General features: G+C 40.5%; 1 protein-coding gene across 1 annotated transcript in view; it reads left to right on the forward strand.

The window, feature by feature from the left end:
* ZNF678 (zinc finger protein 678) overlaps positions 1 to 14,489 on the forward strand; it is a 116,114-nt gene extending 101,625 nt beyond the window's left edge. The window contains exon 6 of the transcript NR_102302.2: positions 11,999 to 14,489. The gene's annotated coding sequence lies outside the window, so the exon portion shown is untranslated. The remainder of the gene's footprint in view (positions 1 to 11,998) is intronic.
* The last annotated feature ends 1,369 nt before the right edge of the window (positions 14,490 to 15,858 follow it).

The following is a 15,858-nucleotide window of genomic DNA, read 5'->3' on the forward strand; positions in this document are numbered from 1 at the left end:
GCGTGGACTACAGCTCAAACAGGCCTGGGCCCAGCAGTGTGGTTTTGGAAAGTCACTTCTCTGGGCCTCATTTTTCATTCTGAATTAGAGGTTAAAATCCAAATATTGCCATCTTCCAGCTAATTACACATTCCAGTGACTTTCCATTATATGTAAAATCAGACGCTTGTGCTGCATATCAGGTGGTGTGCAGCATCCACAAAAACTCAGAGCACTGTGGGGCTAATGACTCACTTTTGACCAACAGAATTCAACAAAGACAATGGGATATCACTTATATTTCACCTCAGGCTGGAGATCAGCGTCTGGCATAATTGGGCTTTGGCAAGGGCTCTCAGGTTGTAGGCCGGAGGCTTAAGGTTGTACACTTACCTGGCAAAGAGAGAGCTTTTTAAGAACTATTTCATAAAGCCAGTAAATCCAATTATGAGGGCTTCAGCCTTAGAATATAATTGCTTTCCATTTCCTCAGCTTTAAGATGTCAAAATATGAATTAGACAATTATGTCATGACTAAGCCTGAGCATATTTTGTGTATGTAAAGCTATTAATATTTTTTGTGAACTACAACATATCTTTTGCCAATTTTTCTATTTTGTGGATTATCTTTTTCTAGTCAATAATCTTGTGATTATTATTTAATCCAGGGTCCCGTTATCCTCTAGGCAACTGCTCTCTCCTGGGAGGGTGTGCCTGGTCAGGTTTGCCTCACCTTTTGTAGCTACCCTATCCTGTATGCCGTTTGGCTGTGGTTTTCTTCTTCAATCCAATCCTATCTACATTTCATGTTTTAATGATTTTTCCTGACTTCTAGTTTAGTGAGGATACATCTTAATTTTCAGAGTGAGTTATTCTTTCTAAGAATTTGTGGTAAAGAAAGGTTGCCACAGATGACCTGTCAGCCATCTTAAATCAAAAGATCAGAAGTTATCTGACGTATATTGCATTATTTAGTCTGATACTTCTGAAATGGTAAATGCTTCTCTTTGGCAAGAGAGAACACAGGAATATTGGAGGATTTGCCTCATTAATGTATACTCATCTTGGCATAATTGTGCTAGACTGATTATTAAGCTAAAGAGGGTAAACAAAAAAGGGAGCCCAAACAGGTAAAAAGTCTACCTTCAAATCACTGACAGTATTATCTAATGGAATTTTACTAAAGGCCCCATCCTGGCTTTTGAGCTGCATTAATCTATTGTGTCTGGATACTATTTACATATTCATATGAGTCATTTTTTAAGTTGTGAAACTTCTATAGTCAGCGTTCACTAATGAGTCCTCTGGGAACTAAACTGTTTTTTAACAAGCTTAACTGAGGTAACTGGAATCAAACAGGCCATAAATTACACAGGGTAGCCTTGACTTGTGGCTTAGGGGAAGTATTTTTCTAAGTTTCTTATGCTCAGTGACAGATATGTGCCCTTGCAGCTTCTCCTTGAGTAGGCCTTGCTGCAGTTCGACAGGGGATATCCTGCTCATGAACTGTGGGGTTGAAAAGCATCCCTTGCTCACTGTAAAGGGTCCACGCTCTCTCCTTTTTCTTTTCTTTTCTTTCTTGCTTTTTTTTTTTTTTTTTTTTGAGGTAGAGTTTTGCTGTTTTTGCCCAGGCTGGAGTGCAATGGCAGGATCTTGGCTCACTCCAACCTCCGCCTCCCGGGTTCAAGCAAATCTCCTCCCTCAGCATCCCAAGTAGCTGGGATTACGGGCATGCGCCACCACAGCCGGCTAATTTTTTGTATTTTTAGTAGAGATGGGGTTTCACCATATTGGTCAGCTGGTCTTGAACTCCAGACCTCAGATGATTCACCCACCTCGGCCTCCCAAAGTGCTGGGATTACAGGCGTGAGCTACCGCACCCGGCCTCTCCTCTTTTTTTTTTTAAACAGAAACTCATTTCATCACTCAGGCTGGGGTGCAGTGGAGTGATTTTGGCTCACTGCAGCCTCGACCTCCTGGGGTCAAGCGATCCTCCTTCCTCAGCCCCCCAAGTAGCTGGGACTACAGGTGCACGCCAGCACACCCAGCTAATTTTTTGTAGAGACAGGGTTTTGCCATGTTGCCCAGGCTGGTCTCAATTTCCTGACCTCAAGCGATCCGCCCGCCTTGGCCTCTCAAACTGCTAGGATTTCAGACATGAGACACCACACCCCACTGAGAACAGAAAAAGATAAAAAAGGTCTACTCTATATCTCAGTCGATGTGTTATTTGATTCTGAGATAATAGCTACTGGGCCTTGCTCTTTCCCCCTGCTGATATATAAATACCTTGGAAAAACTTGGTTCACAGGCTACAGATGAGCCACTACAATTAAAAGTAGAACTGGCATCTACAATTTTGCTGAGAAGACGAGGAGATTGGTGACCCCAGCTTCTATTAATCTCCTCTCCAGGAATTTTCTCCTGGGAATGTTGATAGCTGTTTTCTCACATAATTAGATAAAGAAAGTAAGCAAGATCAAATATTTCTTAGAACGATGACTTATCAGTTCTTGTTTAAGGGATACTTTAATAACTTGCAGCAGAAAATATAAGTTAATTGTATTTAATGTAGTCAGAGAAGTTTACTGTCAATTATTTTGGGAAATAAATATACCCCGAACTTATTTATCAGGCTCCTAATGGATCAGAGAATTTTATGTCTTCAATAATGTGATGAAACATATGAACACATTAACCATGAAATTATAGGGAAGAAAAAAGGATATCTAATTTATTGAGAAAAGCTAAGGTATTCAGATTCAAATGGGTGTATTTTTCTTTATCCCACTGCCCTGAGTTTATTGAAAATACAGATTTATGGAACATTTAGATATTTTATGGAACAGAAGTCACAGTATCAGAAGAAACTCCCAATTTATTTTTTAAAGTTTCTGTTGCAGCTCTTGAAATGGAAACCTCAGGAGATTCAGAACACCAAACAGTAGCTCTAACAATGTAGATATTTGAGTAAAAGTGTTTTGTATCCCCCAGGAAGAAGTCATATCCCTGAAGTTTTGGGACAATAATATACCTACTAGACTAAATTGTGAATATATCCATAGGTTTCATAATAGTTTAGCCTGTTGATACCAGTTCTATAATTAGCGATTTAATTTCTATAATTAAACATAATTCAGCCAAGTTGAATTAAAACTAGTATCAGGCTCATAAAGGTTCTGCAGATATTACATTTATTAAAATGTCTTTTGATCTGCTTTGGTATTGGAGCTAAAAAAATCCATAATTCTGGCTAGCAAGCAGATTCTCAGTAAAATTTATAACAGTCCACACACATATATGGTCCATCATTGTAAACATAAAATGCCAAGCTGGATAGAGTGTCTTCAGATGTTTTCTGATTCATGGCTGGTCTCTTGTGTTCAAATACATTCATGGTTTTGGCAGGAGAACCTTTATTCTGAGTTGGGCATGAGTATATGAACCTGTGGCTTACGTAAGCCACTGGGGTCTACAAGTGTTCACATTTGGCATCACACACTTGACTGTGTTCACAGTTTTAAAAATATGTTTAAAATATAATTTGAATTTTTAATCTACTTTGAGTTAAATTTTTTATATGATGAAAGGTAAGGATCTATTTGTATTCTTCTGCATATTGCCAGCCAGTTATGCCAACACCATTTATTGAATAGGAAGTCGTTTCTTCATTGCTTGTTTTTGTCAGCCTTCTTAAAGATCAGATGGTTGTAGGTGTATGGCCTTATTTCCAAGTTTCCTATTCTGTTCTATTATGTGGATTAAAGATTTAAATGTAAGATTGCAAAATATAAAAATCCTGAAAGCAAACCTAGAATTTACCCTCCTCAACATCGACTTTGGCAAGGAATTTAAGACCAAGCCCCCAAAAGCAATTGCAACAAAACCACAAGTTAACAAATGGGACCTAATTAAACTAAAGATTTTCTGCAAAGTGGAAAAAAAAAAAACCACTAACAGAGTAAACAAACAACCTACACAATGGGAAAAAAATATTCACAAACTGCATCCAACAAAGGTCTAATACCCTGAATCTGTAAGAAACTTAAGTCAACAAGTAGAGAATGAATAGTGCCATACAAAAGTGAGCAAAAGACATGAACAGACACTTTTCAAAGTAAGACATACAAGTGGCCAATGAACATATCAAAAAATACTCATCACAAATCACCAGAGAAATGCAAATTAAAACCACAATGAAATACCATCTCCCCACGCCTGTAATCCCAGCACTTTGGGAGGCCGAGGCGGGTGGATCACGAGGTCAGGAGATCAAGACCATCCTGGCTAACACGGTGAAACCCCGTCTCTACTAAAAATATATATATATCTAAAAAAAAATTAGCCAGGTGCGGTGGCGTGCGCCTGTAGTCCCAGCTACTCAGGAGGCTGAGGCAGGAGAATGGCGGGAACCCGGGAGGCGGAGCTTGTAGTGAGCTGAAATCGTGCCACTGCGCGCCAGCCTGGGAGACAGAGCGAGACCGTCTCAAAAAAAAAAAAAATACCATCTCCCACCGGTCAGAATAGCTATTATCAAAAATACAACACATGCTATCAAGGCTGCAGATAAAAAAAACCCATACCCCGTTGGTGAGAATGTAAATTAGTTCAGCCACTGTGGAAAGCAGTTTGGAGATTTCTCAAAGAACTTAAAACAGAGTTACCATTTGACCCAGCAATTCCATAACTGGGTATATCCCAAAATGAAAATAAATTATTATACCAATAAGACACATGCACTCATATACTCATCACTGCAGTACTCACAGTAGCAGAGAAGTGGAATCAATCTAGGTGCCCGACAATGCTGGATTGTATTAAGAAAACGTACATTTACACCATGGAATAATATGAAGCTATAAAAAAATAAAATCATGTTCTCAGCAGCAACATAGATGAAGCTGGAAGCCATAATCTAAAGCAGATTAACTCTGGAACAGAAAACCAAATACCACGTGTTCTCACTTAGAAGTGGAAGATAAACAAATAGGCACTGTGGATTCCTAGGAGAGTAGGAAGAGAGACGGGCATGTGTTGAAAGACTACCTGTGGGTGCCATGCTTACTATACCCAAAATACCCATGTAACAGTCCTACACATGTATCCCCCGATTTAATAAAAGCTGAAATTTTAAAAATCACATTGTACACCACAAGTATATATAATTGTAATTTGTCAATTATACCTTAATAAATCTGAATAAAGAATAAAGTGTAATTTGAACCAAACATTTGTAGAACCATTTAAACGAGTAGTTTGGCCTCCATTGTATTGGAGTAAAGTGTAAGATTATTATGGTCTCAGGTAGGACCTTTACCAGGGTGGGCTTCAGAGGGCCTCCCTGCTTTGATCAGGTAAATGTCTGCCTGGCTGAGGGCTTTTTGCCTCCCAGGAGCTCAGCTTTTGTCTGCCCAGAATTAAATTTAGCTGACACAGAGCAGGTCCTGCATGTCTGTGGCAGTAGCTTCCCCTGGTCAGGAATGATCAGAAAGGTCTCAAGTGGAAGCTGCTCACTGTCCCAAGATTCTACACAGTTCCTATCCAGTAAGGATTGCACACCCCTCACCTAGAACTTTTCTATCCAGCTCTGTGAAGGGCTGCCCTAGTCTTTCAGGTTCCCTGTAGTCAGGATTTTTAAGCCCCCATTCAACCCCTGTTTACTGCCTCAGAGTCTCTATGCTTATACTCTGGTTTTAATAATTATGTTCAACTTTAAAATAACTTTTGGGACTGGGAGGCCAACACAAAATCAGACCACCAGGAATCCTTCTCATTCCCATTTGTGTGTTCCTTCATGTGAGGCCTTTTATTTTTTTTTTTTTTATGTCCAGCATTTTCATATTTGTAGATGTCTCAGGTTTACTGGGCTTGGGAGGCTCCATTTGTTAGGAAAATTATGGCAATGAGTGGATCACCTTTTTTTTTTTTTTTTTCTTAAGACAGGATCTCACTCTGTTGCTCAGACTGGAGTGCGGTGGTGCCATCATAGTTCACTGGAGCCTCAAACTCCTGGGCTTAAGCAATCCTCTTGCCTTAGGCTCCCAACTAGCTGATACTGCAGGCACATGCCACCATGCTCTACAAATTAAAAAAAAAAAAATTGTAGAGACAGGACCTTGCCATGTTGCCCATGCTAGAATCAATTTTTCTAATGTTCTGAATTAAGGGTTTATAAGTCTGTCAGGATGTCCCGCCATATTTGCAATTCTGCCCTATTTGCAATTCTAGAGAAAAAAAAACACACATTTTCGTCAGACTTATCCATGCACATATTGGTGTGACGGACCAATAGGGCTGAATTTTTTTTCATGCCCAGTGTAGTATGAATATTGTGACTGTCTTTTATCCTACACAATCATTGTTTGCCAGTCTCCATAAGGGATTCTTCATTCTCCATCCAACACTTGCAGGGTGATGTTCCCTGAACTTCCAGCCATAGATCTTTTCCTTTCATATTTGATATTCTTTCTCAGGGTTACCACATCTATTGTTATACTTCTGCTGATTATTCCCAACCACCTTTAGCTATGACTCTGGAGTCACAATATGACTCCAATCTACCTTTTCAAAGTTATTCCACCAAACTTCTTTACATTTCTTACAAACTGGCCAAATTCAATGTTCTTGGCTCTCCCTATGCCTCCATAAAGGTGAATTTGATGTAAGGCCCTTATTTCCAAGGAGCTTATCACTTAATGAAAAAATATTAAAAAGCATATCCTTTTTTTAAAATGTAAAAAAATAGGACATGTGGTTCCAGGAGTCCAAAAGAGGTGCTTGCAGAGGAAAATCAGAGAACATTCACGCAGGAGCTGATCTTGAAGGATGGGTAAGATTCAGAAATGCAGTGATGCAGAGAAATGCATTCCATGCAGAGCAAAATGCAAAGGTAGAATGGAGTAAAAAGTGTACAGAGAAGAGAGTGGTTTTGTTTGCCTGACATTGGAAAGGTAGATTGAAAAAAACTCAGGAAGGGCTTTGATGTACAGGCTTAATTTGAATTTTATTCCAGGTGATGTAAATACTTCTATGATTTTAGAACAGAGCAATGACATTATTAGAACCCTGTTCCTGAATATTCAGCCTGCCACCACCATATGAGATTAGGGAACAGTAGGGGGAAGAAAAGGGAGAAATTTCTGAGTTAGGGGAGTGACAGTGGGTATGGAGAGTTAGAAAGGATATGAGGTAGAATTTTCAGGGCAGGGAAGACGAAGGGCCCATAATAAGCTTCAGGTTTGAGCCTGAGTGATTGGGAGGCTCAGGGTACTATAAACAGTATAGAGAAAAGAAAACAGAGGGGCAGAGGGAATAAATTTAGGGCATGTTGGAGCTGATGCGATCTCTGGGAAACTCAGGTGGAGACTCCTACTCACATCATCATCTCAACCTTAGTGTTTTGAACTCCAGGGTCAGGTCGGTCTGGTTCCCTTCCCTACTCCTCTCAGCTAGGAAAAGCCTACTTTGGTGCCCAGGCTTGTGTGACTTGAGGGAGTAAATACTTCAGCAGCTCCCCCTGACCTTCATGCTGTGGGTCGGTCGGTCTAGGGATGATTATGAGAACCTTGCAGGCTCACTCTGGCTTCTGTGCTCTACCTCACAGGACTAGCTTTTGATTGTCTCCGAAAATTATTGTCCCCTTTCTGAGGCTCTGACACAGTCACCTGGGACAAAAACCCCTGCCCAAAGTCTTGTGCTGGGGTCCTAATATCTATGGACAAAACCTAGAGGATGAAAACTCATCCTTAAAGATAACTGTGGTTTTCTAACTGTTCCATCAGCCTAGGTGACACCTTGTGGTTTCTGATTATTGACCATTTTTAAGCCCAGTAGGGTTGGCTCAACTCTTCTTCCTGCAAGGCCCAGTCCCCATGCCTGTATCATCCTCATAAATGGACCCTGGCCCTCTCTCCACTTCCAAGTGCTACCTCAGGTTCAACACCACACTATGCCAGGAACTCAGAAAGTGAGCTGACCAGCAGGTGGTCACACTCCACCTTGCACTTACTTGGGGTTTTTGATGGAAGCATCTTGCATCCTGCCTCTTGGGTTTTCAACAATCCCATAATTTTTCACCTCTGAGCCTACCCTGGTTGTAGATAACCCACCACTGGACACCTGACCTTTTTGCTACACTGGAGGGCTCAAGACTGCTGCTGTTCATATCTCCTGTCTTAGATGACGTTTCTGCTAGTTGCATCTTGGTTCTAACAGTGCCATCATCTAATTCCATGAGAGCTTCCTTTGCATTTATGGTTTGAGGTTTGCAGAAATAAAACAAAATTGGAGGGAGGTCTGGGAGAATCCAGGTCCTCCATGACTGATTTAGTCAAACATCTTTAGTCACCTTCTTCTCATTCTGAAGACTTCACATAATTAAAACTTTTCCCGGCCAAACACTAAATAAATTTTACACATGCTGCTTGAATCACTGTGCAAGCATTCTATGAATTACTGTGGATTTCTCAGAGATTAATGTCTCTCTAAAACTATTCCTCTGGGTAGGCTGAAGCCAGCAGCTGTGGAAACTGAAGATTTGCCTTATCCAATGAAGCTTTAGGACAGGGCTGCCTTTCACATTTCTCAGATATACTGCCTATTTGGAAAATATTAACACTCTTGGCAACTATGAGCTCCTCAAATATTCCAGTTTTTCAAAAATTTGAAATGGAAAAGGTAATTGTACATATTTAGATCAGAAATTGCTTGGAGTTGCTGGGATTTATTATAAAGGCTTTTATTCATATGTTTTAATTAAACTTACATTTTTAAAACACATACAAATATATTATTATGAAGTATATGAGAAAAAAAGAAAAGCTTTCTCTCTACAATTTATTTTTAAGACCAGAACTTAAGAAATGAGAGGCACACCACCGAGGTGGCTGCCAGTGTCAGGCAAGGGTTTGGCAGAGAACAACCTAAGACAGGACCAACCACTGACAGATTCTACTATAGGAGCAAGAGGAAGTTTCAGGGAAGAGAAGGCAATGACCTACAGAATCATGACCTAAATAAATGGTGGTGGTTTAAGCCTTTAGATTATAGGTTAGTTTATTTTGTTCCAAATGGTAATTGATACGTAAGTAGAGTTAGATCCTTTTAGAAATCTTTCCCAGCAAACTTTCAAGTAAAGATGGTGGATTGAGCAAACACATCTGCTTTCATCTTCTCTTTGTCCCCAGTAAACTCAGAGTAAATGATAATTTTAGAAGTGCATAAATCCACAAGGATAGGAATCAAGTATAAGAAGGATAGACAAGATAAAAAATGTTGGAAGCTGGAAAGCAAATAGTATAGGACAAAAGATTGAAACAGGTATATATATTTGTCACACCTCATGAAACTGTGAACTTAAAAGATGAGCATTTTCTTTATGTAAATTATTTAAGTTTATTTGGAAAAAAAATCATAGTGATATTAAATATAATTTTTCTTTTTTTTTTTTTCTTTTTTTTTTTGAGGCAGAGTTTAACTCTTGTTGCCCAGCCTGGAGTGCAATGGCATGATCTTGGCTCACTGCAAACTCTGCCTCCCGGGTTCAAGCGATTCTCCTGCCTCAGCCTTCCGAGTAGCTAGGATTACAGGCGCCTGCCATCACGCCCAGCTAATTTTTCTATTTTTAGTAGAGACGGGGTTTCACCATGTTGGCCAGGCTGGTCCCTCAGGTGATCCACCCACCCCAGCCTCCCAAAGTGCTGGGATTATAGGCGTGAGCCACTGCACGCAGCCTATTTTTCTATTTCTATCTACAATTGAAATTCTTTTATTGTTTTGGTATTAAACATGATGTTGACATTTGTTTTGAGATAAATACATTGTATTAAGAAAGTATTTTTCTAGTCTTATTTAATAAGAAGTATATGTTGAACTTATGACATTCATTTGAACATTGCTATGGTCTGAATTGTATTTCCCTAAAATTTACATATTGAAGCCGTAACCTGAAGTGTAACAATATTTGGATATCGGGCCTTTGGGAGATAATAAGGTTTAGATGAGGTTTGAGGGTAGGGCCAACATGATGGAATTAGTGCCCTTATAAGAAGATGCACCAGAGAACTTTCTCACTCCCCTCCACTCCTGCCCATCCTGTGAGAACACAGTGAGAAGGTGGCCATCTGCAATCCAGAAGACAGCCCAGAAATAAACTATGCTAGCACCTTGATTTTGGACTTCTAGACTTCAGAACTGTGGGAAAGTTAATTTCTATTGTTTAAGCCACCAAGTTATGGTCTTTTGTGGCAGCCCAAGATGACTAAGATAAAAATCTAAAGGGCTAATTATTTGAACTTTATTATTTGATTAATTATATATATTTATATGTTGCCCAAAATGAACTATTTCTAAATTCTTTGCAATATGTGAAAATAGATTGTGTTTATTCAAACTAGAGGGAAAAGTACATCATGTTTTGTTGAACTGCAAAGAAAATTCAGGAAATTTTTCCTGATGACTGTGAACATTCACTTAAAATACATTTTTTTTTTTACATCTTTAAAATTATACATATAGTTACTTTCATTTCTGGCAACATGGTACACACTCCATATCCTGGGGGGGTGGGGAAAGGCCCCATAAAAAACACCTATTATGCTGGATAAAATGAAGTGAACAACAATCATCTAAACTTGTAAAAAAGTAATTGTAACTCTCAGGATTCAAAAAACAAAAATGCAGCTGAAAGCCAAAGTGGTAAACTCATGTTAAGAATGCAACATCTGCAAGGTGTTTGCCAGTACTGATAATCTCAAGACGGTATTTAATGGTAACAGGGAAAAGGAGAGATAAGCTGTGCATTCAGGTTTTAGGTCAAGATAAAATCCCATCCCACTATAATGCTGAGATCCTAAAAAGATTAGGTTCAAAATGAAATTGGAGACTGGAAATAATCTATCTTTGACAAAAGTTGGTGCTTGGGACATTTAACAATTTTGGAGTAATTGCTGGCTAGGAAAAGCATTCCCCTTAAGAGTTGATAACCACAATTCTTCCCTCAAGTTTGAAGTTTAGACTTAAATCACCTGCCTATCCAGAAAATACTAAGGCAACAAACCAATCTAAAACAAGCCTTTGATTGATAGCATCCCAGAGTACCTCGAAGAAGCAAACACAAATGCTGTCAGGAGGGACTCACCCTTAAACTAGGAGTTACAAGATTTTAACAGTGTAAGACTACCAAATGTAAGCTCATGATTTCAAATCCCAGAAACATACAGGGAAACAAGAGCCATGAATGGGAAACAGGAGAAACCACAATAGCAGAACTAGACTTCCAAAAACCTTAAGACAGTGATTTCTCAGATAAAGTAAACTATGTAAATCCCCAAAACATTTTTTTTTATTTCTTACTATAATTTTTTTAATTTTATTATTATTATACTTTAAGTTTTGGGGTACATGTGCACAACGTGCAGGTTTGTTGCATATGTATACATGTGCCATGTTGGTGTGCTGCACCCAGTAACTCGTCATTTAACATTAGGTATATCTCCTAATGCTATCCCTCCCCCCTCCCCCTCCCCACAACAGGCCCCGGTGTGTGATGTTCCCCTTCCTGTGTCCATGTGTTCTCATTGTTCAATTCCCACCTATAAGAGAGAACATGCGGTGTTTGGTTTTCTGTCCTTGCGATAGTTTGCTGAGAATGATGGTTTCCAGCTTCATCCATGTCCCTACAAAGGACATGAACTCATCATTTTTTATGGTTGCATAGTATTCCATGGTGTATATGTGCCACATTTTCTTAATCCAGTCTATCATTGTTGGACATTTGGGTTGGTTCCAAGTCTTTGCTATTGTGAATAGTGCCGCAATAAATATACTTGTGCATGTGTCTTTATAGCAGCATGTTTTATAATCCTTTGGGTATATACCCAGTAATGGGATGGCTGGGTCAAATGGTATTTCTAGTTCTAGATCCCTGAGGAATCGCCACACTGACTTCCACAATGGTTGAACTAGAATCAATTCTTAAGTAATTATTTACTGGCCATATCCTCCACCCTGTCATCTCTTAGGTTAAAAGGACTACTGACTCAAACTCTGCCTCTTGAGTTCATGGTTCACCACTTCCAGCCTGGTGACTTGGTGCTGATTAAAACTTGGAAAGAAGACAAGCTCCACCCAAGTTGGGAAGCTCCCTATCAAGTGCTCCTGACCACTAAGATGGCTGGATGTGCAAACAGCTGAACAAAGGTGGACTCACTACACTCAAGTCAAGGGACTGGTAAAAGGGACCCCAGAAGGCAAGGAAAAAGACCAGTGGAAAGTGCATGGGTCACCTGAGGAACCCTTAAAGTTAACTCTTGGAAAAATCTAAAAGGAAAACATGGGCTGGCCCCATTTCTGGAAGTTAATATGGCTGGGATGGGCTACTATACAAAGAGCAGAAGGTCAAAATGGAAACTGGCAGGGGACTCTTCCCTACCCAATCAGGTTGGCAATTAATGTGACCAAGACGATGGCACCTCAGAATATAAGATTTGATACCTGCCAGGTTTTAACTTGTGGGAATTTAGAAAATCAGAGACAGTTCTCACAGGCAGATAAATATCTTTTCCCTGAACCAAATACAGTTTACAGTAGGGCATCACCCTGCCCCAGCTGGGATAATGTATGGTGGACTACCCAATTTCAGGGTTGAACAGTAAACATAGAATAGGTAACTCTGAGCTGGAGACCCTTAAAGAATAAACTACATCTGTCCAAGGGCTCCCTGCCAAATAACTGCCAGAATTTAAAATGCAATTCTATACTCATCACCATTGACAATCCAGCCATTGTAGACCAAGAACCAAAAGTAGAATCTGGGATATATGCATTAGGGGCAGAAATCACAGGGAAAGACCCCCTAGGGTGATTTGTTCTCAAACTAATCAAGAACTCAACCTCCCATTTGCCTGGGACTACAACCCCAGACCCTAATAAACACTTTAGTCCACCAAATAATGACCCTAAAAGGGAAAAATATGGTAAAGGATCTAAGGCAAACCTTAGAAATTGAGACAGGGTATGGGGATATAAACGCCTGGGTCGAATTGGTCAAATTTTTGGTACAAGCCCTCAACAAGAGTAACTGCTGTGGGATGACCTTGGGCACAGGTGGTTCCATTTCCCCTAGGATGGAATACCCCTCCTAAGGGACTACACTGTATGTTGGTTCTATACCAGGACAAGGATGCATGCGGAAGTAAGACTTGTAAGAGTCTGTGATCGCTCTTTCCCACATTCCAGAGCTCAGATCCCAGAGCAATATCCTTGTTCTCTATAGGGAATATGAACCACTTCTCTTGCCTCTCTAGGCAGGAGGAAGAGTTCAATAATCCTGTGGGAGAACTCTCAACTTCTGCCTACATCCTAAACATCACTGGTGAGTCAAGCAATGGCAATTACTCAGCTCTCCATACACCCCGGGCTGATGTCTGGTGGTATTGTGGGAAATGGAACCTCTGTAACCTGTTACCATCCAATGGGACTAGGACTTGTGCTTTAGTCCAATTGGCCATTCCCTTCACCCTGGCATTCCATAAGATACCCAAAAATACACATGGCCACTGACACCAGAGAGATTTGACAAATTCTTTTAATCCCAATACATATGTTAACTCAATTGGAGTCCCTAGAGGTGTGCCTAATGAATTTAGGCCTAAAACCAAATAGCTGCTGGGTTTTAGGACTCTTCTGATGGTCAACTATTAATAAGAATGTGAAAATGGAAAATGGAAAAAATGGAAAGGCATGGTAGCTTTAATCCTTACATCTCTCATAATTGTGGCAGGAGTCTTAACAGCAGTGGGATGTTGTATTACCCCTTGTGTGAGGGGACTAGCACAAAGATTAATTAAAACAGCTGTTAATAAACAAATGCCCATAACTTACCAGCAAGATAACCTACTACTATTAGAAACTGAATTAAACTCACTCTCCTATGGAAAAAAAAAGTAAATGACTTCTAGAACAATTCAAGGACCAAAAAGGCTTAAATGAAAATGAGACCAAAGGAAGTAAATAGAAAAGAGTTAATAGAAAAAAAAAGAGTTAATAGTAAATAGAAAAAATAGAAAAGGGCAAAGTTATATGTCACCATTTTAAGGGAAGAGACCACCCCTCATATTGTCTTATGCCCAATTTCTGCCCCCAAAGAAAGAAGAAGTAAAAACTAAAAGGCAGAAATGAAATCCACAGGCAGACAGCCCAGCGCTGTGCCCTGGGCCTGGTAGTTAAAAGATCGACCCTGGCCTAACTGGTTATGTTATCTATAGATTCCAGACATTGTATGGAAAAGCATTGTAAAAATCCCTGTCCTGTTCTGTTTCATTCTGATTACCAGTGCATGCAGCCCCCACTCACGTACCCCCTGCTTGCTCAATTGATCATGACCCCCTCATGCAGACCCCCTTAGAGTTGTGAGCCCTTAAAAGGGACAGGAATTGCTCACTCAGGGAGCTCAGCTCTTGAGACAGGAGACTTGCCGATGCTCCCAGCCAAATAAACCCCTTCCTTCTTTAACTCGGTGTCTGAGGAGTTTTGTCTGCGGCTCATCCTGCTATATTTCTTGGTTCCCTGACTGGCAAATGAGGTGATGTCAGATGGTCAAGGCAGCTTCTTAAGTGGCTTAAGCCTGCCTTGTGGAACATCCCTGCGGGGGACTTCAACCAGCCCAAGAAATGCAGATCCTGAGAGCGCTCCCGGGTAGGCATTTGCCCCAGTGGGACGCCTCACAAGAGCATTGTGTGGCAGGCACCCGTGGGGGATCAACGCAGTGGCTGAACACCAGGAAGGAACTGGTACTTGGAGTCCGGACATCTGAAACTTGGTAAAACTAGTCTTTGGAACTCACCTACTCTGTTTTAGTGGAAGTGTGGCCTCATCACCCACAGTGTGCCTTTATCGGCACTTTGGTTTCATTTTGGTTTTGGTTTTGACTTGGTTTGAATTTCTTGATAGGACTGGTCTTGGGAAGTTGCCCACTCCATTTGAGTGGAAGCGTGGCCTGATCACCCACGGCATGTCTTTATCAGCACTTTGGTTTTGGTTTTTGTTTTGACTTGGTTTGAATTGCTTGACAGGACTGGTCTTGGGAACCGTGTGCCCTTTTTACCTGTTCTTTGTTTTGTGGTGTGTGTGTGATGTGAGCGTGGTGTTTTGTCTCGAAGAAGCATGAGTCAGGCACAAATAAGCCCACCCTACTAGGAACTATGTTGAAAAATTTCAAAAAAGGATTTAAGGGAAACTGTGGAGTACTATGACACCAGGAAAACTTAAAACTTTGTGTAAGATAGACTGGCCAGCATTAGAGGTGGGTTGGCCTTCAAAAGGGAGCCTGGACAGGTCCCTTGTTTCAAAGGTATGGCACAAGGTAACCTGTAAGGCAGGGCACCCAGACCAGTTCCTGTACATAGACACTTGGTTACAGCTGGTTTTAGACCCCCCACCCCGAACACACAGTGGTTGAGAGAACAGCAGCATAAGCAGCTGGCAGAGGCTAGGAAAGACCAGCAGAGAGAGAGAAAGGAAAGAGACAGAGAGGAAAAGAGGCAAAGAGAGAGAGGAAGAGTCAGAGAGGAAGAGACAGACAAAGAGGGAGTCGAGGAGAGAGAGAGAAAAAAAAAGAAACAGAAAGACAGAGAGAGAGAGGAAGAGACGGGCAAAAGGAAAGTCAAAGAGAGACAAAGAGAAAAAAAAAGAGAGAGATATACAAGTAGTTAAGAAAAGAACAGTGTACCCTATTCCTTTAAAAGCCAAGGTAAATTTAAAACCTGTAATTGATAATTGAAGGTATTCTCTGTAACCCTATAACACTCCAATACCACTTTGTTGTCAGTGTAAACAAGGGCATATCCTGAAAGCACTGAGGCCTTCCTATCAAAAATCCTTA

Source organism: Homo sapiens, chromosome 1 (assembly GCF_000001405.40).
Source record: "Homo sapiens chromosome 1, GRCh38.p14 Primary Assembly".
Classification (NCBI taxonomy): domain Eukaryota; kingdom Metazoa; phylum Chordata; class Mammalia; order Primates; family Hominidae; genus Homo; species Homo sapiens.